The sequence below is a fragment of the Homo sapiens genome, chromosome 13 (genome assembly GCF_000001405.40).
Source record: "Homo sapiens chromosome 13, GRCh38.p14 Primary Assembly".
NCBI lineage: Eukaryota > Metazoa > Chordata > Mammalia > Primates > Hominidae > Homo > Homo sapiens.
Window position 1 is genome coordinate 39585539 of NC_000013.11, and position 25003 is coordinate 39610541.

Consider the following 25003-nt stretch of genomic DNA (forward strand, 5'->3'; position numbering starts at 1 on the left):
CTCCAGACTAAAAGATCAATTTACTACAGGTGACTGACAGCAATTTTCAATGGTAAACAGGTTGATAAATAACATTCATTTATTTCTTTATAAGTAAAATATAAGTATAATTTAAAATATCAAATTATTGATCAAGCTGTTTCTGTACCTCACTTCCGTTTCTGTCTATGAATGCTCCCTGCCCACCTGTTTGCCCAATGGGACTCTCTTAGCCTCCTTTGGTTCTGAGGGCTGCCTGATTAGAGAATCATTCTTTGCTCAAATAAGCTATTCAATTCAATTTGTCAAAAGTTTTTCTTTTCATAGTATTATGTATCACGTGTTATGAGACATCCTTCTTGGGCAAAAAGGAAGCCATTAATGGTTATTGCAGGATGCTTAACCTAATAAAATTTAGGACATTTTAACTTTAGCTATGATTAAAATCTACTAGATTTTTCTCAAAAAAATATATGGGGCACCCTCACCCCATACCTTGTGGTAAATCTGTTTCCATTCCCTGAACTCCCATCAGATCTCTAGACTAATAAAATAAGAATAGATTCATTAAAACATGGAGGGAAAAAAAGAAAACGCCAAATTGTTTATGAAAATGAGATGTATAAAATCACTCTTACATCTAATTATTGTGTGTATATATATATATATACACATACACAGCATTTCCTGCATTTTTAGGAAGAAAAAAAGAGTGTCTTTTTGTGTGAAGCAGTGAAGTTCAGTGACACTGTCAGCTGCTTTAGTTGTCATCAGTATTCCCCTTTTAAGCCCCCAGGTGTGCTGGACAGTTAGTAACACATGCTTACATGCAGACCAATATGCAAATGATTCTAAAATCAGAGATATGCACATTGTAACACTGTATGATAAACCACATCTACATACCATGGTAACGACAATATTTACTACTTTAAAAAATAACCCACTGAAAGCCAAAACAGTTGTAATTTATTGTATTTTCTTTCCCCCTTTTCATTAACTTTTGAGGAACTAGAAAGAAAAAAAGAAAATGCTGGCTACTTATATAAACAGAGATATAAAATTACTGAGATATTCATTCATTCATCTATTCATCTAAAAATATTCATTGTGACAGCAGGTCTTGACTCTACTTCAGAAAATTCTTCAAAATCCTTTTCTTTCTATTCCCACAGCTTCACTGAGATTCTCACCATCGCTGGCCAACATTGCTATAACAGGCCTGTAACTGCCTTTCCTGCTTTTGGTGTTCCCCAAGCCAATCCTCACTGCTACTAGACTATATAGTTCCTAAGTCAGGTGCACCCATAGCCACTGAAAAGCTTCAATTTAGTTAAGTACATAATCCTCAGCTTGGGGCCAGGCACGGTGGCTCACGCCTGTAATCCTAGCACTTTGGGAGGCCGAGGTGGGTAGATCGCCTGAGGTCAGGAGTTCAAGACCAGCCTGACCAGCATAGTGAAACCCTGTCTCTCCTAAAAATACAAAAATTAGCTAGGCATGGTGGCATGCGCCTGTAATCCCAGCTACTCAGGAGGCTGCAGCAGGAGAATTGCTTTAACCCAGGTGGCAGAGGTTGCAGTGAGCCGAGATTGCATCACCTCACTCCAGCCTGGGCAATAAGAGTGAAACTCCGTCTCAAAAAAAAAAAAGAATCCTCAGCTTGGAACATAAATCAGGGCCTTCATAACCTGACTCCATCTGTCCTCTCCACGTTAGTCCCTATCACATCACTCTCACCTCATACCTTGTAGTAAATCTATTACCATTCCCTGAACTCCCATCAGATCTCTTTACAATTCCTTGGCTTTGAGGACTTGATGTTCCCCTGTCTGAAGGCTGAGGAGGCTGTCTGCTCACCAGACCCAGGTCAACTAGCACCTCTGCTGTGACGCCTTGCCAGTCACAATGTCACTCCTGCCCTGCACACCTGCAGCATTTTGTTCATACTCTAGTGGACCCTGGACATTCCTAGATTAAACATCTGTGATTTTGGTCTAGTCACCAAAAATCCTATAAGTTCATAGCAAGACACAATCCTCCATACTGCCTTGGCAGCAGTATGAATTTGAATTATGTATTGTGTTTCACCCAGGATCCATCCAGGGAAGCCGAAACCATCCTAGATATTTCAAACACAGAGAATTTTGTACAAGAAATTGGTTCTACAGATGACGAAGAGCTAAAAGGCCAAACAGGAGCTAAAGAGGCAACCCAGAAAGTAGCATCAACAGAAAACTATTGCTGTCCATTAGATAGGAGTGATATTGACAGAAGATGGCATTACTAGTGATGAGAGGACTGGGCTTCCTGACTAGGGTAGGATCATGTTGTGATTTTCTGATGAGAGCTGGGATCATGAAGGGCAGGGCTTTCTAGGAGGAGGAACCATGCCCACGAAACTGCACAAGGAAAAGCAAGAGAAGGAGAAATAACCTGGATTCTCCCAGTCTCCTTCTGTCTTCTAAAAGTGCCTCCCACTGGCTGGATATCCAGATGCCAGATGCTAAGTCTTCCAGGAAACGTAGTCCTTGTGATTTACAGCCAAGCAGGGAAAGGTCGGGATGGAAAATGAGTGGCACACAGTGTGTGAGGCTGCTGAGCCCCTCACGTGGCTGCCGAGTGAGCCTCACCAGCTGATCACCGTCTGAGCAAAACACAGAAGTGTGTGTGCTACATATCATGAGTCCTTGGACTGTAATTATACCTTGCATGTTGGTTTCCTCTATAAGACTGTGAGCTCAGCAACAGCAGGAACCCAATTTTTATCCCAACACGTAGCACATTATTTGACATACAGTGGGCACTCGATAAGTAAATGCCCTTAACCACCAATCCCCTGGATTTACAACATACTTGAACTTGGTATTTCCCAAAGTTTGTTCTGTTGACCATTAATTCAAAGAGATGTTAATGCATATTACAAGTAAATAGGGCCCTGCCATTCCCAAATAAGTTTGTGAAACAAAGTGTTAAATAAACTTAAGCTGGTTTGTTTATTGCAGAATTATTCAGAGCTTTTAAAATGTGCTTGAAGAGGGAACTGTAGTATGACACACCATCGTTTCAACATGCATGACGACTAAATACTTTTTCCAAAGAACTAACATTATGCAGGAACCTCAGTTCTAAGGGGACATTGCTTAAATATCTTCACATTGGTAGCATTACTTCCTTTTATCTTTGAAATATTCCCATGAGGTACAGAAGAATAAGGTCACATCTTGTAGATAGAAGTGTTGCTAATAAATAATTAAATCTAAAGAATACATCAAGTATTAATTGGATATATAAAGTGTCATTTACTATTCTAGTCACTGCAGCATTAGAATAAAAATATAAGTCATCGTTCCTACCCTATTTGAAGAGATAAGAAAAACAGAGAACCATAAAATGAAACTTTCTTTTTTATCCAACAATATTTTTATACATGCTTTGTACATCAAGATACATGGTGCTATTTGATTATTAAAAATCTGAGACCCATGGAGGGTAATTATTTACTGAAGTGATAAGCAGGTCAGCTCTGGAGCTTACAATTTCAATTTCATGAATTCTAACAGCAAATCACTAACTGGAATGACATCTACCAGATAAATTTTTTTTTATTTTTTTGAGATAGAGTCTTGCCCAGGGTGGAGTGCAGTGGCGCCACCTCGGTTCACTGCAGCCTCTGCCTCCCGGGTTTAAGCGATTCTCCTGCCTCAGCCTCCTGAGTAGCCGAGATTACAGGCGCATGCCACCACACCTGGCTAATTTTTGTATTTTTAGTAAAGATGGGGTTTCACCATGTTGGTCAGGCTGGTCTCGAACTCCTGACCTCACGATCTGCCCACCTCGGCCTCCCAAAGTGCTGGGATTAATTACAGATGTGAGTCACCGCACCCAGCCCAGATAAAGAAAATTTTTTAAAAACTAGATCCCCAATAATAACTTAACCAATATTAATGACCAGAACTGAGCAATGTTGTATCCAACCCGACGAACCTCTAAAAATGACCATTTAAAAATCTCTGAGAAATTCCTGGACTTTTTTTTATTATGATATAGCTAAAATTTCCATTTGTTTCTACATTTTATTGATCCAGATTGATAAAGTAGGACATTATCCTTCATTTTTAAAGACAGACACAAAGCCTTTGGTTTTGTTATTTAAGAAATATGTCCTTTGGAATTAATATTATCATTAACCTTAATAAAGGATTATTACAAAGGCTTCCAACAATGGGTGTCTACACTAGAAAATTTAGCCAGCACACGATCGTCTGTTAAATAATTTTTAAAAGACAGTATGCTTGCTTTGGTCAGATATTTTGGCATTCTCCCCAAATGGCCTCTCTATTACATATTACATTATTAATATTAACATGTAATACAATTTTTGAATATTGGCAAAAAGTTACTATATCATATTACCAATATTTCTATCATACCAGAAGCATAAACTGAGGGCCAAAGAGACAATAAGAATATTCCCTTATGTTGAGACTTATTCATGGTGAACAAAAATTCTGATTTCTAAATATAATATAAAGTAGAAGTTTAATCAACACTTTTAATATTATGGTGATAGTATTCATAGCCTAATCAGTAACTAATGGGATAACTTTGGTTTTCATGCTCTAAAATTCAGTGTTCTCAGCTGTTAAAAAAAAATTAATCACCTGCTTCACTGAGGTGAAATGAAAACTGAATAAGTTCTACAGATCAAGGGTCCCTTCAGGGTGCAGGACCCAAATAAATTAGGAAAATATTGAATCCTATATTCCTCCCCATTTTATCTGGGAGATTGGCAATATGCATCAACACACCAAAAGCTCTGTGAAGTTCTGCCGCAATGAATCTATTAACTTTCCAAAACCAAGTGCTTCTCAAACATACTTGTCCCTAAAACTTGTTTTTCTTTTTCCTGGTAGCACCTATTGGTACACCCAGGAATTAATGTTCCTCAGAACTCACTTAAGGCTGATGCTTCAAGGGAGCAACAAGATCAATTCTTGTGACATCCAAGAATAAAAGTTTTGAGTTGCTGCTTTTATTCTTTCTGATTATAACCAACACCCACAATAAGACACCCTTGCCAACCTGGAGAGTTCAAATACAGAGTGTGTAACAGTGATGACTTTGTGTGGAGTGCAAATTGTATGCATCTCACGATATTTACATTGAATCATGTAAGTATCATTGATATGTAAGTATGATATGATACACAGAATGATGTAAAGATCTCTTGAGTGTGGTTTTTGAGTTCTTTCTATGGAAATGTTTATGAATTTACATTCCTCAGTTGGTTTCCTTTGTGACTAACAATTTGTTTTCACAAGATAGGTCAACAATTTGCATTTCAGTCTGTTAGTGAGGTTAACTAATCCATACTGACCATGGCCTCAGGGGTATCTGGCTACGGCTGTGTTTGCTGGTGAAACTAAGGGAAGTAAGTTAAAAATCAAACAACTCTCTTAGAAAGACTCTACTCTGCCTAAAGTAAATGGAGAACTGAACCAGGTCAAAAATAAATAATTCTAGCGAAAAAGTGTTGCATAGCTGCTAATAAGTCCAAGTATAATGGAAAACTCTATATCCCACTATTTTAAGACTTACTATGATTATTATTTTTACTTCAAAAATACAAAGTTAAAAAGTAAAAAATAGTAACTCAAAACGGGGAAAAACTGATAAATTTGGCAAAAAAGAAACTAGATCTGAGCCTACTCTACCAGAACATGTAGCAGCAACATCACATTGTTGCAGGACGAAGGAGGAAAAACACAGCATTGGGAATGATGGTGGGGTTTGCAATTTGTAGCTGGAGTCATACATCAAAATATGGTCCTCATCTAAGTATAGCATGGAAAATATTTCATTCTTTTTTATGAGTGTATATACAAGGCTAACCATCACCTAAGGTCAGCAAGCAATATAAAAGCAAAACCAACAATAAATGCATCTGTTCCTACACCAGTTCTGATGTTCTGCAGCTCAAATCACATCACCCCCAAAATGACCACTGCAGAGGTAACAATGATTCACTCTAAGCTTAACAGTGGTGTAAGTCTACATGCCAATACTAGTACAATATGAGGTTTTAGGCAAATAAAATTGGTTTGTATTTCTCCAAATATGGTCTGTGGACCATCTGTGTCTAGAACACGTGGGGAGTTTGTTCAAAGTGCTCCCTGGGCCCCACCCAGACCTTCCCAGCAGTCTCTCTGGGGCTAGGCCTTGGACTGTTTACATGGAATAAGCTCTCTGGTGATTTTTAAGCCTACTAGAAAGCTAAAAGAATATTGTATTGAGGTTGGGTGCAGTGGCTGACACCTGTCATCCCAGCACTTTGGGAGACTGAGGCGGGTGGATTACCTAAAGTCAGGAGTTCAAGACCAGCCTGGCCAACAAGGTGAAACACCGTCTCTACTAAAAATACAAAAATTAGCCAGGCATGATGGCAGGCGCCTGTAATCCCAGTTACTAAGGAGGCCAAGGCGGGAGAATCGCTTGAACCTACGAGGCAGAGTTTGCAGTGAGCCGAGATCACACCATTGCACTCCAGCCTGGACGACAAAAGCAAAACTCCGTCTCAAAAAAAAAAAAAGAATATTCCATTGAATCCTGATATGGAGAACTTAGAAACTTCACAGGAAAGCATCAAAACAATAAAAATCTTTCCCACGTTAAGGCTTAGAAAACAAGCTTTTTAGAAAAAAAAAGTATGTAAAAAACTAAACTGGTGACCATGACAATTTGGAAACATCATTTAAAAACATTATTAGATATCACCACCGATCCCACAGAAATACAAACTACCATCAGAGAATACTGTAAACACCTCCACACAAATAAACTAGAAAATCTAGAAGAAATGGATAAATTCCTCAACACATACACCCTCCCAAGATGAAACCAGGAAGAAGTTGAATCCCTGAATAGACCAATAACAGGCTCTGAAATTGAGGCAATAATTAATAGCTTACCAACCAAAAAAAGTCCAGGACCAGATGGATGCACAGCCGAATTCTACCAGAGGTACAAGGAGGAGCTGGTACCATTCCTTCTGAAACTATTCCAATCAATAGAAAAAGAGGGAATCCTCCCTAACTCATTTTATGAGGCCAGCATCATCCTGATATCAAAGCCTGGCAGAGACACGACAAAAAAAGAGAATTTTAGACCAATATCCCTGATGAACATAGATGCAAAATTCCTCAACAAAATACTGGCAAGCTGAATCCAGCAGCACATCAAAAAGCTTATCCACCATGATCAAGTGGGCTTCATCCCTGGGATGCAAGGCTGGTTCAACATATGCAAATCAATAAACGTAATCCAGCATATAAACAGAACCAAAGACAAAAACCGTATGATTATCTCCATAGATGCAGGAAAGGCCTTTGAAAAAATTCAACAACCCTTCATGCTAAAAACTCTCAATAAATTAGGTATTGATGGACGTATCTCAAAATAATAAGAGCTATCTATGACAAACCCACAGCCTATATCATACTGAATGGGCAAAAACTGGAAGCATTCCCTTTGAAAACTGGCACAAGACAGGGATGCCCTCTCTTACCACTCCTAATCAACATAGTGTTGGAAGTTCTGGCCAGGACAATCAGGCAGGAGAAGGAAATAAAGGGTATTCAATTAGGAAAAGAGGAAGTCAAATTGTCCCTGTTTGCAGATGATATGATTGTATATCTAGAAAAGCCCATTGTCTCAGCCCAAAATCTCCTTAAGCTGATAGGCAACTTCAGCAAAGTGTCAGGATACAAAATCAATGTGCAAAAATCACAAGCATTCTTATACACCAATAACAGAGAGCCAAATCATGAGTGAACTCCCATTCACAATTGCTTCAAAGAGAATAAAATACCTAGGAATCCAACTCACAAGGGACGTGAAGGACCTCTTCAAGGAGAACTACAAACCACTGCTCAATGAAATAAAAGAGGATACAAACAAATGGAAGAACATTCCATGCTCATGGGTAGGAAGAATCAATATCGTGAAAATGGCCATACTGCCCAAGGTAATTTATAGATTCAATGCCATCCCCATCAAGCTACCAATGACTTTCTTCACAGAATTGGAAAAAACTACTTTAAAGTTCATATGGAACCAAAAAAAGAGCCCACATTGCCAAGTCAATCCCAAGCCAAAAGAACAAAGCTGGAGGCATCACACTACCTGACTTCAAACTATACTACAAGGCTACAGTAACCAAAACAGCATGGTACTGGTACCAAAACAGAGATATAGATCAATGGAACAGAACAGAGCCCTCAGAAATAACGCCGCATATCTACAACTATCTGATCTTTGACAAACCTGACAAAAATGAGAAATGGGGAAAGGATTCGCTATTTAATAAATGGTGCTAGGAAGACTGGCTAGCCATATGTAAAAAGCTGAAACTGGATCCCTTCCTTACACCTTATACAAAAATCAATTCAAGATGGATTAAAGACTTAAACGTTAGACCTAAAACCATAAAAACCCTAGAAGAAAACTTAGGCATTACCATTCAGGACATAGGCATGGGCAAGGACTTCATGTCTAAAACACCAAAAGCAATGGCAACAAAAGCCAAAATTGACAAACGGGATCTAATTAAACTAAAGAACTTCTGCACAGCCAAAGAAACTACCATCAGAGTGAACAGGCAATCTACAAAATGGGAGAAAATTTTCGCAACCTACTCATCTGACAAAGGGCTAATATCCAGAATCTACAGTGAACTCAAACAAATTTACAAGAAAAAACCACACAACCCCATCAAAAAGTGGGCGAAGGACATGAACAGACACTTCTCAAAAGAAGACATTTATGCAGCCAAAAAACACAAGGAAAAATGCTCACCATCACTGGCCATCAGAGAAATGCAAATCAAAACCACAATGAGATATCATCTCATACCAGTTAGAATGGCAATCATTAAAAAGTCAGGAAACAACAGGTGCTGGAGAGGATGTGGAGAAATAGGAACAGTTTTACACTGTTGGTGGGACTGTAAACTAGTTCAACCATTGTGGACGTCGGTGTGGCGATTCCTCAGGGATCTAGAACTAGAAATACCATTTGACCCAGCCATCCCATTACTGGGTATATACCCAAAGGATTATAAAACATGCTGCTATAAAGACACATGCACACATATGTTTATCACAGCACTATTCACAAAAGCAAAGACTTGGAACCAACCCAAATGTCCAACAATGATAGACTGGATTAAGAAAATGTGGCACATATACACCATGGAATACTATGCAGCCATAAAAAATGATGAGTTCCTGTCCTTTGTAGGGACATGGATGAAGCTGGAAACCATCATTCTCAGCAAACGATCGCAAGGACAAAAAACCAAACACCGCATGTTCTCACTCATAGGTGGGAATTGAACAATGAGAACACACGGACACAGGAAGGGGAACATCACATACCGGGGCCTATTGTGGGGTGGGTGGAGGGAGGAGGGATAGCATTAGGAGATATACCTAATGTTAAATGACGAGTTAATGGGTGCAGCACACCAACATGGCACATGTATACATAGGTAACAAACCTGCACGTTGTGCACATGTACCCTAAAACTTAAAGTATAATAAAATAAATAAATAAATAAATAAAAATAAAAACATTATTAGATACAAACATATAAAATTTTGTGTTCTCTATATTATAAAAGATTTATTAATTCCTCAACATCCTTGCTTTTAATAAATCCTGAGCTTAGAGTGCATGCTCTCACTGGTGCTCACTGTCAGCCGCCTGTAGTGTATCTTCCTTTCTTTCCTTTTTTTTGAGACAGAGTCTTGCTCTGTCACCCAGGCTGCAGTGGCACAATCTCGGCTCACTGCAATCTCAGCCTCCTGGGTTCAAGCGATTCTCATGCCTCAGCCTCCAGATTAGCTGGAACTACAGGCACACGCCACCACATCTGACTAATTTTCGTATTTTTAGTGGAGCCAGGGTTTTGTCATGTTGGGCAGGCTGGTCTCGAGCTCCTGGCCTCAGGTGATCGGCCTGCCTTGGCCTCCCAAAGTGCTGGGATTATGGGTGTGAGCCACCGCGCCCAGCATGCATCTCCCTTTCATTCCTTCCTGGCTGGCAAAGCCCCACTCCCACTGTTTCACCATGTAGGCCTCCATCTGAAGCTTGCTCCTTTATATTATCAGTGTTCGTGGTTGTGATGAAAGGCATGGTCTGTGGCCCTAAAAAGTATGACCACTGAGCAAGAGTTTCTCATCTTCTTCCCCAAAGGTGCTGAAGACCAGGAGATCTTTTCATTAGTCAAAGCTGATTTAAGTGCCATTCTACCTTGCAGGAGAAATTCAGAAGGACTGGCTCCTAGTGTGCCCTTCTGGCCTAATCATTCTATGTTTCCAAGATGTACATGACTGTACAGAGTTGGCCAAGGGACGTCCAGGACCATCCCTGTGATCTATAGTACGGTCTTCCTATCTTTCAATTAACAATTTCTTACTGAAAATCCACTGCATGCAAACTTCAGAAGTTGTATTAAGGTCTTATTTTGAATACTTCATATCCAAAATCTTGTGTCTGGTATAAAAAATGATAAATAAAAGGAAATGTTATATATAATTCATATATTATAACATATATATGTATGTATCTATATATAATATGCACTGAGAGAGAACTGCAGACAATTTGTTGTGACAAGAACTAAGAGAAATGGAACAAGAATGTGCTAAATCAATACCAAACTACAGCAGCAGACCCCCTTTATAGCTCAATTTTAGAGAGGTTTATAGCAGATTATGACACAACTACACTTTAACTCAGTTCTGAAAGTAAGCCATCTACCAGAAGTCTCATCTTCTTAAATAGGAAATGGTTAACTCAGAACATGGTTTTCAAGGTGTCATCTCTGAACCAGCAGCAGCAGCATCACCTGAAAACATGTTAGACGTGCAAACTATCAGGTACTCCACCAAATCTACTGACAGAAATTCTGCAATCCGTGTTTTAAAAGGTCCCACAGGTGATTCTGATGCATACTAGAGTTTAAAAACTGCTGGCTAAAAACTCAAGACAACTCACCTGGACCTTCTATCATAGGTTAGAGTGAGCCAAATAAAACAAGAGTAGTTATTATAGTAATCTATAAGGCATAATTTAAAAAAAAAAAAAGAGCCCTGCCTGCTTCCCCAAGTGACCTAAGAAGAAGTCTCTACATTTCTTTAAATTAGAGCAACTGTTTTCAGTTAAGACACTGTCACAGAAAGCCACTATGCCCATTAATATGCCAACACTCATTATTTAGCTTATTACTCAGCTGTCACTTGGCAGAGAGCTTGGATATAAAGAAAAGCATAACGTGGCATATCATATGACAGGTCAGGTTTACAGTAAAGCAAGGGAACAAGAGTCCCAAGCAGTCTCCCTCAAGTCATGAAAGACAGGCCCAGGTGGAACTCTACAGTAAGGAGACTCTGAAAAGGCAATGACGCTTTCATAACATAGAGCAAGGGATGCTCAAAGAAACATTCTGACATCATTACTGTCTTCAGCAGCACTTAACTGTCTATTAGTTGAGATGATCTCCGGCTTCTTAGAACAGAACAGTGTCTAAGCAGGAAAGGTAATGGTTTACTGCTGATTAGCATTCCACACGCATTTCATATGTATATATGACTAACGATCAAACTAAACATGGAATAATATAAATATGGGACTCTCTTTGGTACTTCCTCATTACTGCACCAGCAGTTTCTTAAGATGAAATGTACACATTCAGATTCTGACATTTGCAAGCACCACCTGACAGAACTTAACAAATACGCTTAATATGTCTTTACAACATTCTTACGTGTATCATTTGCAGGGCATGTAAATCTTACTAATACGTGCACCAAAAAGTTTGATATTAATTTTTTAAAATTCTGTTAAAGTCCTTAATGACTAAAACGGTATTTGAAAGCACACAATTTTATATTCACCAATCAAAAACATTAAAGCCTCTATTTTCTCCTAGCATCCTTACCACACTATATACATGTTAACATTTTTATTTTACATTGTATTTCCCCACAGCCTTTCTACATGCCTTTTAAAAACTCAGTTGAGGGTAACTCAACCCACACTGGTTCTTTAAAGTTAGACATAAACATACCTTATAATATGAAATGGAGATGGTGGCAATTAAAGTTTCTGTACAGATTACCACAGGAAAAGTGATAGTCACTGACTCCTTGAGGTATTCCTACTATAGGTAGAAAATATCCATGTATGGCAGCCCCATTTTACATTGCTCTATCAGTTGACAGCTGACATTTTAACCTCTAACCAACCATAGCAAGAAGATTCAGAATTAAGTTTGACAATTTGTCCTTTAACTTGTTCCAAAGTACTGCAGGGGTTTTACTGCCTGATGTTATACCATATGTACAAACTCTAGACACAGCAGGCGGGGTTAAGCAGGATGCCTCTGTATTTTGCCATTCTCCTGTTTCCTGTTGTTTTTGGAGCAGCCTAACTTTAGCTAAACATAACCCTCCTGGGCATATCATTTTTAGCAGGAGAATCTGCCTCATAGCAAAGTTCCCTGTATGTTGATTACATTTCTGAAGCATGGCAGTCTATGAGATTCATAGAACTCACTGGTTTGGCATTCTGCCGAGTCTTTATGAAACCCAACTCATCATAGGAAAAATTTATTGAAATAAAATTACTTACTGCATAAGTTTTTGTGAATAAAAACCCAAACAATTATGAAATGAACAAGCTACCTAGGGAATTCTTTTTGAAACTTTTTTTTTTTTGGTCATCTGGTCTCCATTAAGTAACAGTGATAAACAGCAGATTCTTTAAAACTTTTTCCATATTTCAAGTTATTTTTTAATTCTAAATTTACTGTTATCTTTGGTAATGGGTATGTTTACTTGTGCCCTCGAGAGGTGAGATTCTGTAAAACCCTCTTAGATTTTACATCCAGAATTATTTTTGCCAGTATGAGAAATATTTTTGAGAAATTAGAGAATATCAGCTGCTACTAACAAATTTTATTTATCTTTATTTATTTTATTTATTTATTTTGAGACAGAGTCTTGCTCTGTCGCCCAGGCTGGAGTGTAGTGGCCCAATCTCAGCTCACTGCAAGCTCCACCTCCTGGGTTCACGCCATTCTCCTGCCTCAGCCTCCGAAGTAGCAGGGACTACAGGCGCCCACCACCACGCCTGGCTAATTTTTTTGTATTTTTTAGTGGAGACCGGGTTTCACCGTGTTAGCCAGGATGGTCTCGATCTCCTGACCTCGTGATCCACCTGCCTTGGCCTCCCAAAGTGCTGGGATTGCAGGCGTGAGCCACCGCACCCGGCCAGCTGCTACTAACAAACTATACTCTTAGCTTAATGTCAGTAACTCTTACCAAGCCAGAGTTCATGAAAAGTACTCACAAAGAAAAAAACATGGTTCTTTAAAAATATATATAATTTCCCCAATTGTCTGTCCCCTTGGGTATTCTGTAAAGTAGAACATTTAGCTCTATATAATTCAAAAAAAATCTATACATAGCTTAGGGAAGGAACCATAAATCTCATGGGTCTCAGATTCACTTCCTGTTGCCTTCCTTCATTACACGTTTAAAGATAATCAATAAAAACTGATTTCTCTTTGTAAGCATTTTCCTGTTCTGCCAGAAATAATAGCAGGCCCTGCCCTAAAATGAAGGAAAAATGGAAAGCAATATTTACCATAAGAGGAGAAAATGAAACTGCTTAAGCATTTTTCCTGAGCCAAGTGAAACACAAACAGCAGACCAACTTTATTCTTACAGAAAAAAATTTTAAATACTCTTGGCATTAATTCTATTCTTAAAATCTATTCTTAAAATTTGTAAGTTTTCAAACTCTGAATTTACATTTCCACTTTCAATGACAACTTCTTTAGGTTTCCTAATAGTTTTAAGTACATACCTGTGTAAATATACATATCACATGCAAGACTTTTGTCAGTGTTAAACATTGAAGCTGTAAAGAGATGACAGGTAGGTCCCCCACACTGCCTCCCGGGAGGGACTAAGGTGCAAACCCAATGGGAAAAAACCCAAATGAGAACAAAGTTACATCAGTAAGGAAAGAATGGACAATTCTATCTCACTTTAAAACAAAACTTTCTATCTCATTTCAAAACACAAAACTTTGCCACTTGCATTTTCAGCACAAGAATTAAACTTTACTGAAAATGTTACTTGAAAGTTTTATATTAAATACTCTGAAATAATCCATTGGGGTTCTCTAATATGGGGAGACTGTCTCACAACTACTCATTTTTAATTCATTTTTCTTCTTCTGGATTCTTCACAAAAGACTGTAAGAAAACACCAAATGAGGGAGTAACAGACCTTTACTTTGTAATGAAGTTCCAAATACATTGTATAAGTTTTCCAGGCTTCCTATTTCCCTTCACTCTGCACTATCTATGGAGGTTGTCATATTTCACCAGGGTGGACTGTAAATCAGACAAGTTCAGCCAGTCAGGTTGAAGAATGGAGGTGAAAAGCACAGTGGAAAATACATAAAGTACAATTAAAACCATATGACCAAAGATATTGAAGCAATACTTGCTGGAGGGAATCCAAGTAAAAATCAAACCTTTTCTGGCGTTAGTGAAACTATCCAGTCCATCTGGGACAAGCACACATCATTTGCTAAATATCCCTTTTCTTTTTTTCCACAGCAAGAGCACCCAGGAAAGTTAAGACCTAACAAGGTAATTAAGTGGATAGCTATCTCTGTAGAATAGTTAAGTTCATAGTTGTTATATAAAACTGATCTCTCATTTAAAATAGTTAACATTTATTTAGAAATAGAGTTTAAGATTGGGCAAGAGTAAATTTTGCATCCACCAAAGTGTATTAGAGGTTCATGATAACAATGTTGAATCAAAAACCTTTTCCACTTTTCTGTGAAATCTTTACCTTTAAAGACCCGAGGATTCCATGAAGACAAAGATAATCTAATTGTCTATTGTTTAACATAACGAACAAGAAGCTATAAAATCCAAACTGTCGCCCCTACTACACCTCAAACAACCTAGATGTTACTGTTTCACATAGGTGGCACTTAGCAGGCCAGTGATGTATATGTACAGAAATTAAGAACTCTTGAAGTTGTAAAGCAGCAATTCTGACAATAATCTTGACTTTGGCAACCTATCATCAAAGCCATTCCAAATCTATTTCTCTTATGCATTCCAGGTGTCATTTATAATAATCTCAGTAGACAACTGAAACATAACTTTTAATACTGCTTTGGGATTCCAGTAAACAACTCAAGCTCAGCAAGTCACTTACCCCCAAGAAACTGAATTCCTCCAGCCACTCTTCCCACTGTCCTGGAGATGAGGTCGGAAACACAGCAACCCATGAGGGCAGTGAGCGCCACCAGGAGGAGGAGGCCACAACCCAGGCCGGTCACTATGGTGCAGATCCTCCATTCTGCGCTGGGGATGCCCTGGAAGGAGGCATAGCGCCCACATTCCTCCACCATCACCATCATCTGCCGACTCTCATCATGCACAGGATATGAGCACCTCCGGAAGGTACCGAAGGACACAGGCTTGCCCAGCTGTGATCCCCAGAGCCAGTAAGGCATAAAGAACCCCACGCAGGAGGTGGCAGCACAAAGAAAAGACAGCAAAGCCCAGATTACTCCAGTACAAGTCAGGCTGGATGCCATCTTTCACCAGATAGGGCAATGAGGACCCCAAGTAAGTGTTCAGGGACTGCAGGAGTGAATGAAGGTGTGAAATCACCAGGGACCCACAGATAATCCACAGTTCCGTAATGCAGAATGGATCTTCAGTCTTACTGGGCATCAACTTTCCATCCTCTGCACTAAAGATGATGGTCCCTGGTAAAACAACAGGAAACATTAAAAATTAAAGGCATTAAAAGAAGTGATAACACTGTTTCAGCTAGTCTACAATTTTCAATTAATAAACATTGAGACTTGCCTCAACACTTTAAAAGTGGGAAGAACTAATTCTCTCTATGAGCTTCATAACTCGATTTTTGTCAAACCAGCTCAAAGCTTTTTCATGTCTTTATCTTCCGTAAATATTTCCAAATTAACTCTGACAGCTATTTACTTAAAGAAACGCCCGATTTTTATTTGACAGGCCAATGAATTCATTCTATATATTATATACTCACATTAAAAGTAATGTAGCACTTTCACTGGGCAATAAACAATTAAAATAAAATGAACCATGCCATGATTTCCATTTTTTGGCTTGCAAGTTCATGCTCATAGTTTGTTGCAACTTTTCTATGTCCCTTTAAGGGTGCATTAACTCTCTGCATGAGCCAAACAAACTAATTAGGATAATTTTTCACAATTGCAGAGTACCATAAATTTAACAAGCATTATGGTCTGCGGAGGCACCCACAGTACAGAACTATTACCAGACACTCTTTGTACTCATTCAGCAGCATTTCAGAATTTCTTTAGTCTTAACATCTTCTAGTGTAAAAGAATGCCTGTGTATGACTTATTTTGAGTCTGCAGTTTTGATTCATTGATTCCAACAGTTCTATTGCAATCATTTCTCCCACTGAATGATTGTCTAATTTGAACAGCAATCCATACTTCCCAGTATGCTACATCAAACCCCAGTCATCCAAATGGTTCCAGGGGCATCTACTTCCACCCCAGCCTTTCAAAAAGAGTTCCTTAACCATTTCTCACACTTTCCATAAAGAAATGAATACAGAAGCACAGAGCCCATCCACCCTAGAATTCCACCCCCAGGACCCCTAACTCCAGCTTTCAGGGTCCATAGCAAATTTCCCCCTTTCTTCACCTCGCCCCTACCCGTTTTTTTCTCTAACCACCGCCCATTTTCAGTTCTGGATGTCACTCAAACGGGAGGTCGGCTACTACTTTTTTTTCTAATCTTGTCAACTGCAGTCAGGGCTGAAGTTGATCTATCTGGGCCACGAGGCTGGGGAAGACCAGCAGGGGGTGGCCTGCGGGCAGGGGGCCCCCATCTCCAACTGCGGTGAGGCGCCCTCGCCAAGACAAGCCCATATTTAGCCCCCTGCCATTGCCTCACCGAGCCACTCCACCCATGGAGACACACAATGATCCCTCCATTCTAAAAGGGGGCAAGAGGCATTTTCCAGCCGGCTCTGGACGAAGGGAGGGGATAAGGATGGGAAGGCAGCACCCCCCGGAGGCAGACGCCAAGAGCGGACGCGGCTGGCAGGCAGAGCCGACGGATCCGCCGAGCTCAGGAAGTCCGGAGCCCGGGAGCAGCCCAACTCCGGCTCCGGGGCAGAGAGGGAGCCCGGGAGAAAGCAGCGGAGCCCACGCCCACGGGGCAGCCGAGTGATTTACTTACATGGCTGGCGGGCGGCGGCCACCTTCCCTCCCGCGTCCCGGGCGCACACACAACTTGCTGTCTTTCTCGGGCGGGAACATCCACGGGAAACCGGACCGTCCTGCCCTTCTTTGCCTCTGTCCCTAACAGCCGCAGAACCCCGGGGCCCGACCTGGAAGAGCAGGGGTTGGCAGGAGGCGGAGGGTCTCCAGAAGCGGGCTGGCACCAGCGGAGACCCCCACTCCCGGCGAGTCCGCGGCGGCAGCTCTGGCGGAGCGCTGTGGGCGCGCGCGGGCGCCGGGGATCGCACGCAGAGGAGCGGATCTCCCTTTGGCAGGCGAGGCACGCACCGCCTCCTCCCCTCCGCTGCCCGGCCCTCCTCTTTCTCCAGTCCCCTCCCCTCGCGCCCCGGGGAACTCCGCGCAGACAGACCCAGGACGCACCGGGGACGTTCCTGGAGCGCCGGGAAGGGAGTGGGGGGGTGCCCCGCTGTCCGCGCGGGTCCAGGCCCACCCCCGGGGGCAGCTTTCGCGGCTCCTCCCCTAGCCCCGAGCCCCCTCGCGCCCCCTCTCCCTGCGTCTCATTCAAAGCTGAGTGGGGAAGGCAGACAGACCGAGAAGTATGGGAGAAAGTTGCTTGTCTTCCTGGGTGACCCCGAGGAGCCACGGAAGATGACACACTTTGCCTGTTGGGGCTTTTCTGGGTTTACTGTTCGGGTTTATGCTCCTGTTTTCCTGCCGCCGTTAAAAGAAGCCGTAGACGGGAAAGAGGGCCTTAAAGAGTGGGTAAAGTGGCCCCTTTGAGATTTGAGGAGGCTTTTGAGAAGTGGTCACTTTGGAAGGCGGTGAATGAGGCGGTTGTGGACGTGGGAATTAAAGCACAGCAGACAGCCCAAGGCTCATGTATGGCATGGGGGCAGCTGCCTTTCCAGACGAGCCAGGGAGAAGGCAGGGGCGGACCTCTAGCGAGCCTCTCCCAAGAGATACACTCTTTCAAAGGTCTCTCTCTCTCTCTCTTGCTGTTTCTCTGTCTCTCTCTCCCTCCCTCCCTCCCTTTCCCTTCACTTCCTCCCTCCCTTCTCCTCCATCCTGCCTCCTGATCAATTTTGCAATTTATTCCATCGTTTGATTTCTTTTCTGAGAAACAACTGATTTTTAGTTCCCCTCTGGACTTGAGGACTTTTTCCACTTGTCATTAGCACTAACCCCTTTAGAAGTTTAGAGCTAGATTCAGTAGATGACTGTGGGAGTCTCTGCTGAACACAGTATTTTAAGAAGTATGCCATCTGGGAACAGCAGTTTTTGAAGTAGACAGTTTCCCAGATATAGTTTTTGTGAGGTGTCTTTTTAGAGGAGTTGAAAGTAATAAATTGGTAGGTATATATTTCATAGCAGATTTTCAGACTGCACCATTTTAATTAGCCGTGATGGTGTACATTTTTCCCACAACGACAGCTGGAGATATGTGTTCTTTTATTATTATTTTGAAAGACCTTAAGTGATTGATTCCAAGCCTTTTGAGGTCACAGGTCTTTTAAAAAATACGATGAAACTGATAAGCCTTCCAGAAAAAAAAATGCGCGGACATATAAAGCTTTACCACAGCGATTCTGAAGAAGGAAAGGGATATTTGGCAAGGTCTGAAGATAATTTTGATTATCATAACCCATGAATGGGGAGTATTACTGGCATCTAGTTGGTAAAGACCCGAGATTCTGCTAAATACAGTGCACAGGACAGTCCCCAAAATTACCTGGGCCAAAATGTCAATCATTTGAATGAAATATCAGGTGGTTTCCCATTCCCTTAAAGCCCATCCATGAATCCCATATTCAGAATCCCCAATTTAAGTGTTTTTGTTTTTGGTGTTGTTGTTGAGTTTAAGTTGTTTTAACTCTTCTCTTACAAATCACCGGTTACTGGTTTCAGTGACAGCATAAGAATGATTGGTCTGACTTCCAGTTAGGTACCACACCCTTAGTTATTACACAGAGCCTTCATACCTATATAATATGATGGTGGAAGATATGATCATAAAAGACAAAAGAATAATAGTGAGAATCGGAGTCACCTCCGTACAACCTGCAGGGGAAATTGCTCTCAAACACTTTCTTAAGTGTGAGAAAGCTTAAGCGCAAGTGCTGGCTGGAGACATATTAATGATAATCATGGTTACTACAGATTGACTCCTTGCTGTGTGTTAGTACATTAAGGTCCCTTAATAGATTACTTATCCAGTCCTCAAAAAAGAAAAGAAAAATTATGAAGAAGGAATAATTATTATTTTACCGCAAGGATAAGAAGTAATTTGCCCAAAAATTTACAGCTAAAAAATGACTTTTAAAAAAATCTCATTATTTGCACTCTCTTAAGCAGAGTAAATGCTATCACAGAGATTCTGCCTAAAATGAAAAAAAAAATGACAGAAGAGGCCAAATTTTTAAAAATCTTTCAGGATGCAATATCAATTATTTGTGAAAGTATAATACTGGGACTCAAATTTCTAACTTAAATAAGTGAATTCAGACAAATGGTGATCTTCCCAAGCCCTAAGTTATCTCATTGTTAAAAAGAGATTGAAATAGGTTATTTTAATTTTTTTTAAGCTCACAACTTCCAGCATCATGGTTATATGGGTCCTCTTATCTTTGAGAAGGAATTTAGAGATCATCTAATCTTGTTCAAGTATGTAATTTTACAGCTGACAAAACAGAGGCTCGAAATTCTTCCAGTGTCTTACCCAAAGCTGAGGCTATAATCCACATATCTTGATTTCTCTTTCTAATTATCTTACTAAACTATAATATCTTCTGAATTACTCCTTATGTTCTTCCATGCACACTTTGTAAGCAAAATGCATTATAATTTATTTAAGCCCCTTTGCATTAAATTTGTACCTTTAAAGGACCATTAAATTACTTCACAGCCAGAAGTTCCCACATAGCAGATGCCACTTATAACACCTATTCCAGGTTTGGGTTTCCAGTATGTTTGGATAGTAGTCTCATTGAGTCACAAGATGAGATCATGAATGCGACAGTATATGGAAAGCTATAAAGTGTTTATGACAACACTCTTGGTTGGCTACCCAGTATTAATTCACAATCCCCTCTCCCTTCTCACCAGATACTCTTCTAGCATCCCTTAAAGCAAGTAATGGCCACTTGATCCTGCTGTAGCCAATGAGTTTGCTAAGGAGGCCTCTGGGGAAGATTGTATTCTCTGATAAAATAAGGAGACGTGAGAGAATAGTTCTCTCACCATCATGACTGTCTTCGGGCACATTCTTGAAGGTGTTTAGAGCTCTAGCAGCCTTCTTGTAACCAGGTGGGGGGTCACAGAGACATACTCCCAGTGATCTAACATTGTAGAGCTTCTCACCTCCATTTGAATTATTTAAAAAGTAAATTATAGATTTTTAATATGGTTTAAATCACTATGAGTTGAATTTTCTCCTTTTAGTAGCTAAAAGCATTCCTAATTGATAAAGCATGGTATAGATAAGACATTTTCAATGAGAGGAAATATACATCAGTGAACATTGTATCTCAGTGCTTGGCAATGTAGACAGATACTCAATAATCAAACAGTAATTGTGGGATTTAATGAACAAATCAATATCATCGTGATTACTATCCTTGTTCTAATGCAGCCTACAGAGTGGGTATTTAATTTTTAAACAAATGGTATGCTATGTGAAATTAGGGAAGGAGCATGATAATGAAATATCGAGAACATAATGAAATCAATCACTTCTGACTACCAGAGAGAGATTGGAAAGGGATTTAGTCTGTCCACAATTGTGGCAAACACTACAGTTTGGCTGATATCATTTCCAACTCACTTCTTTTACATTGTTATCTCCTACGAAAGCAGTGAAAGCTAAAATCTCCACGTCCTAGCCTCCCTTGAAATTTGAGGGGCGATGTGTGTGTTATGATATATATTAATTTTTGTCTACAGTTCCTAGCTCCCAACACCCATAGCCCTTGTTACAGTATTTTGTTACAGTGTTGGGTATGTTAGGCCTCAGGAACAGACCTCAAGAAACAGAACCTCTCTAACCTGCTTCTGCTCTCCTTTCACCTGCCCCAAGGCAGTACTCTAATCTTTCCCCCTCCTTTCTGACTGTGGGTCTTAGGACCCTCCCCTGAGAGGGACCCACCCCATATCCTGAGGAAAGCAATGGTGACATCATGAAGCTTCCATAAAAACCCAAGAGGGCAGGCTTGGCATGGTGGCTCACACCTGTAATCCCAGCACTTTGGGAGGCCGAGGCGGGTGGATCACCTGAGGTCAGGAGTTCAAGACCAAGCATTGCACTCCAGCCTGGGCAACAAGAGTGAAACTCTGTCTCAAAAACAAACAAACAAACAAACAAAAAAACTCAAGAGGGCTGGCGTGGTGGCTCACACCTGTCATCTCAGCACTTTGGGAGGCCAAGGTGGGCAGATCACCTGAGGTCAGGAGTTCAAGGCCAGGCTGGCCAACATGGTGAAACCCCATCTCCACTAAAAATACAAAACTTAGCTGGGTGTGGTGGTGTGCACCTGTAGTCCCAGCTACTCAGGAGGCTAAGGCAGGAGAATAGCTTGAACCCAAGAGGCGGAGGTTGCAGTGAGCCAAATCGCACCACTGCACTCCCGTCTGGGCTACAGAGCCAGACTCCATCTCAAAAACAAAACAAAACAAAACAAAACCAAGAGGACTGGAAGTTCCTGGAGGATGGTGTGCCCCAGGAAGGCATGGAAGCTCCACACCCTTTTCCCCATACCTCGCCCTGTGCATCTCTTCATCTGTTTCCTTTGTAATATCCTTTTATAATAAACTGGTAAACATAAGTGTTTCCCTGAGTTCTGTGAGCTGCTCCAGGAAATTAATTGAACCCAAAGAAGGGGTCATGCAAACCCCAATTTGAAGCCAGTTTGTCAGAAGTTCTGAAGGCCCAGACTTGTGACTGATGTGGGGTGACAGGGGCAGTCTTGGGGACCGAGGCCTCAATCTATGGGATCTGATGCCATCTCTAGGTAGATATTGTCAGAATAGAACTGGAGGACACCCAGCTGGTATTTGCTGCGGAGGTGATTGCTTGTTTGCTGGTGGGGAAATATCCCATACCTTGGGGTCACAGAAGTCTTCTGTGTTGACTGTTACTGTGTTGGTGTGAAAGCAGAGGAAAAACCTGGTTAGAGATTCCAGAAACACCATGTGACAGTTCTGGCCATTGAAGGGTGCTGGTACCATCACCTCCACCTCTTCTTTCTTCCAGCCCAGAGAACAGTTGTGATAGCACTTTGCAGCCCGGCATTCATTGTGCAGCCATGAAGCAACAGGCATGAGGAGGAAAGCCAGCACACGAACCATGATGGAGCAAAGTGGTGAAAAGAGTCCGCTTCTTCCCTATCTGCACTAGGCTGTTGGACTTCTCTTGGGGTAAGATCAAGAATCCTCACCTGGTTAAGTCACTGTTATTACCTGCTACACTATTCATACCAACTCTTCTGTTACACTCAAGAGGCCAGCACCACAACAAAGGCACAGAGTGTGGGGACATGAAACAGAACCAGGAAAGAACATAACAGTGTTGAGGGAGAATTTCTCAAGCAAACAGTGGCTGGGGAGGCATTCATTGTCCACAGTGTGTATTGCAGAAGATGGACCCTCCTTAAAGTGTGGCAATAGAAACAGGAACAGCTATGAAAATGGCTTATAAAATGTTTATTCTTAAAGTCTCAACTTTGAGCAATTCAGAGAGACAGAAATTCTCAGCATTATAAAATAGCCTGATACGAAAAGGTTCCTCTTAAATACAAACCAGCAAGAGAGAGATGCAGACAGGTGGGAGGTCCAAATGAGAACCAGTAGATAACAAAAGAGAGGCTTTAAGTAGGGGCAGGGAGGAGAGATTTTTTCCTTAACTTCTCCTGGATGTGGAGCTCATCATTTCTTTGTCAATAAAAAAATACATGATTTGTTCCTCGACACATGCTGCGAGATATCCCAAGAAATGCTCCACCAGCTGAAAACCTACCATCACAGTTTTCAGTACAGATGCAGTGAACAAGGTTTAAAAAAACATAGTTGGAGATCATAGTAAGTTCCTCCATTCTGCCATTTCCTTCCTCCCTTCATTCCTTTTTTCTTTTCTTTTTTTTTTTTTTTTTTTCTTTTTTTGAGACGGAGTCTCACTCTGTCGCCCAGGCTGGAGTGCAGTGGCGCGATCTCGGCTCACTGCAAGTTCCGCCTCCGGGGTTCACACCATTCTCCTGCATCAGCCTCCCGAGTAACTGGGACTACAGGCACCCGCCACCATGCCTGGCTAATTTTTTGTATTTTTAGTAGAGATGGAGTTTCACTGTGTTAGCCTGGATGGTCTCGATCTCATGACCTCGTGATCTGCCCGCCTCAGCCTCCCAAAGTGCTGGGATTACACTTCTCTTCATTTCTAAATTGCCCTTTCCCTTCACAAATCCCTTCTCAAGACTAATTTAAAGGGGCATTGATTGCTATGACATTTTACTGCAATGAGTCCATTATATACATGGGGGAAAAATCTCAGGGGACAAGTGATCTCTCAGATTTCCTGCACTCCATCTCCAGTAGTCTATGAGTGAGATAGTGCATTGCTTTTAGAATGCTAACTCTCCTATTTGTATGCATATATTTACCATAGCTATCTCAACATCCTATTAAATCGGAGTTGCCCATTTCATTTTCGATGAACTTTCTTTCATGTGTTTGATAGACGCAAGACACCCCCCACCCCATAGAAACTGTATTTGTCTAGTTACATACAATTTCTAAACATAGTGATTTGTATGACTGAATTCCCCAGGAGCTTTCATGGAAATGAGGTAGATACCGTCTGTGACCTGCTCCCAGTGTTGCTGTCTGCATTATTCATTTAAAGTTTGCAAATTACTTTGGACTATGAAGTGCCATAGAGTTTCTATGTATTATTCTTTTATGAATTAAAGTAGCATATAAATATTAAATTAATAACTTATTTATAAGAAAAAAAGTGAAGCGTTAAATCAGATTTAACATAGCAAATACTTCATATTAAACCATCAAAATTGAAAATGTCCATAATACGTAATATATATACTTTTGCTACGTGACCCAGTTTGCATTTTAAAGCAGTACATAATTACGTTTAATACTGAATCAGGGTCATGCTTCTGCTGCTTTTAAGTTATTTTTTTCTTCCAGGGTCAAAAATCATCTCTGTTTTTTTCAACATTATGACTATGTTTTTTGGTTTGTGTTTTTATTTTTCCATAATATGTAGAAAGATGAATATTATGGGTATATAGATTAAAAAAAAGTGTAATATTTGCTGAAATATTACTGTTTATTGACCAATATGCCGGCTACACCAGGGCTGTACTATGGAGTCATGTGGAAAAGAGGGAACTGCGAGGCAGGTGGATCACTTGAGGTCAGGAGCTAAGACCAGCCTGGCCAACATGGTGAAACTCCATCTCTACTAAAAAAAAAAAAAAAAAAAAAAAAAAATTACACAGGTGTGGTGGTACACACCTGTAATCCCAGCTACTCGGGAGGCTGAGGCAGGAGAATCGCTTGAAACCAGAAGGCAGAGGTTGCAGTGAGCCAAGATCACACCACTGCACTGCACTCCAACCTGGGTGATAGAGTGAGACTCCTCCTAAAAAACGAT

General features: G+C 40.8%; 2 protein-coding genes across 3 annotated transcripts in view, besides 1 other annotated feature; one reads left to right on the forward strand and one right to left on the reverse strand.

Annotated features, from left to right (window-relative positions):
* The window catches only part of LHFPL6 (LHFPL tetraspan subfamily member 6), a 260302-nt gene extending 242647 nt beyond the window's left edge, over positions 1–17655 (reverse strand). Inside the window, exons 1-2 of one of the 2 annotated variants that reach the window (XM_011534861.2) lie at positions 17496–17655; positions 15294–15852 (exon numbers count right to left, since the gene is read on the reverse strand). In XM_011534861.2, coding sequence (XP_011533163.1) covers positions 15294–15678 — 385 coding nt within the window. In that variant the 5' untranslated portion in view covers positions 15679–15852; positions 17496–17655. Of the gene's footprint in view, positions 1–15293; positions 15853–17344 lie in introns of both variants that reach the window. The other variant, NM_005780.3, reaches the window with a different exon arrangement.
* LOC112268119 (protein SPT2 homolog) lies at positions 15786–23458 on the forward strand. Its single transcript, XM_035861111.2, has 4 exons — positions 15786–15855; positions 16912–17002; positions 17106–18104; positions 22592–23458. The coding sequence occupies exons 1-4, from the start codon at positions 15786–15788 to the stop codon at positions 22659–22661; spliced, it is 1230 nt and encodes a 409-aa protein (XP_035717004.1). The 3' UTR covers positions 22662–23458.
* Positions 17550–17849: a silencer, noted in NCBI's record as "silent region_5277". NCBI's record gives its function as "represses an Ori minimal core promoter by ATAC-STARR-seq in GM12878 lymphoblastoid cells {active_cell/tissue: GM12878}" and the evidence as "EXISTENCE:reporter gene assay evidence [ECO:0000049][PMID:35858748]".
* Positions 23459–25003: the final 1545 nt, after the last annotated feature.

Bases quoted from the DNA above. Each gene is read 5' to 3' on its own strand.
- LOC112268119 (XM_035861111.2), top strand. From the start codon at position 15,786: ATGCAGAATGGATCTTCAGTCTTACTGGGCATCAACTTTCCATCCTCT. The intron at 15,856-16,911 runs GTAAAACAACAG...TGTCAACTGCAG, and splicing joins ACTAAAGATGATGGTCCCTG to TCAGGGCTGAAGTTGATCTA. The intron at 17,003-17,105 runs GTGAGGCGCCCT...CCATTCTAAAAG, and splicing joins GGCCCCCATCTCCAACTGCG to GGGGCAAGAGGCATTTTCCA.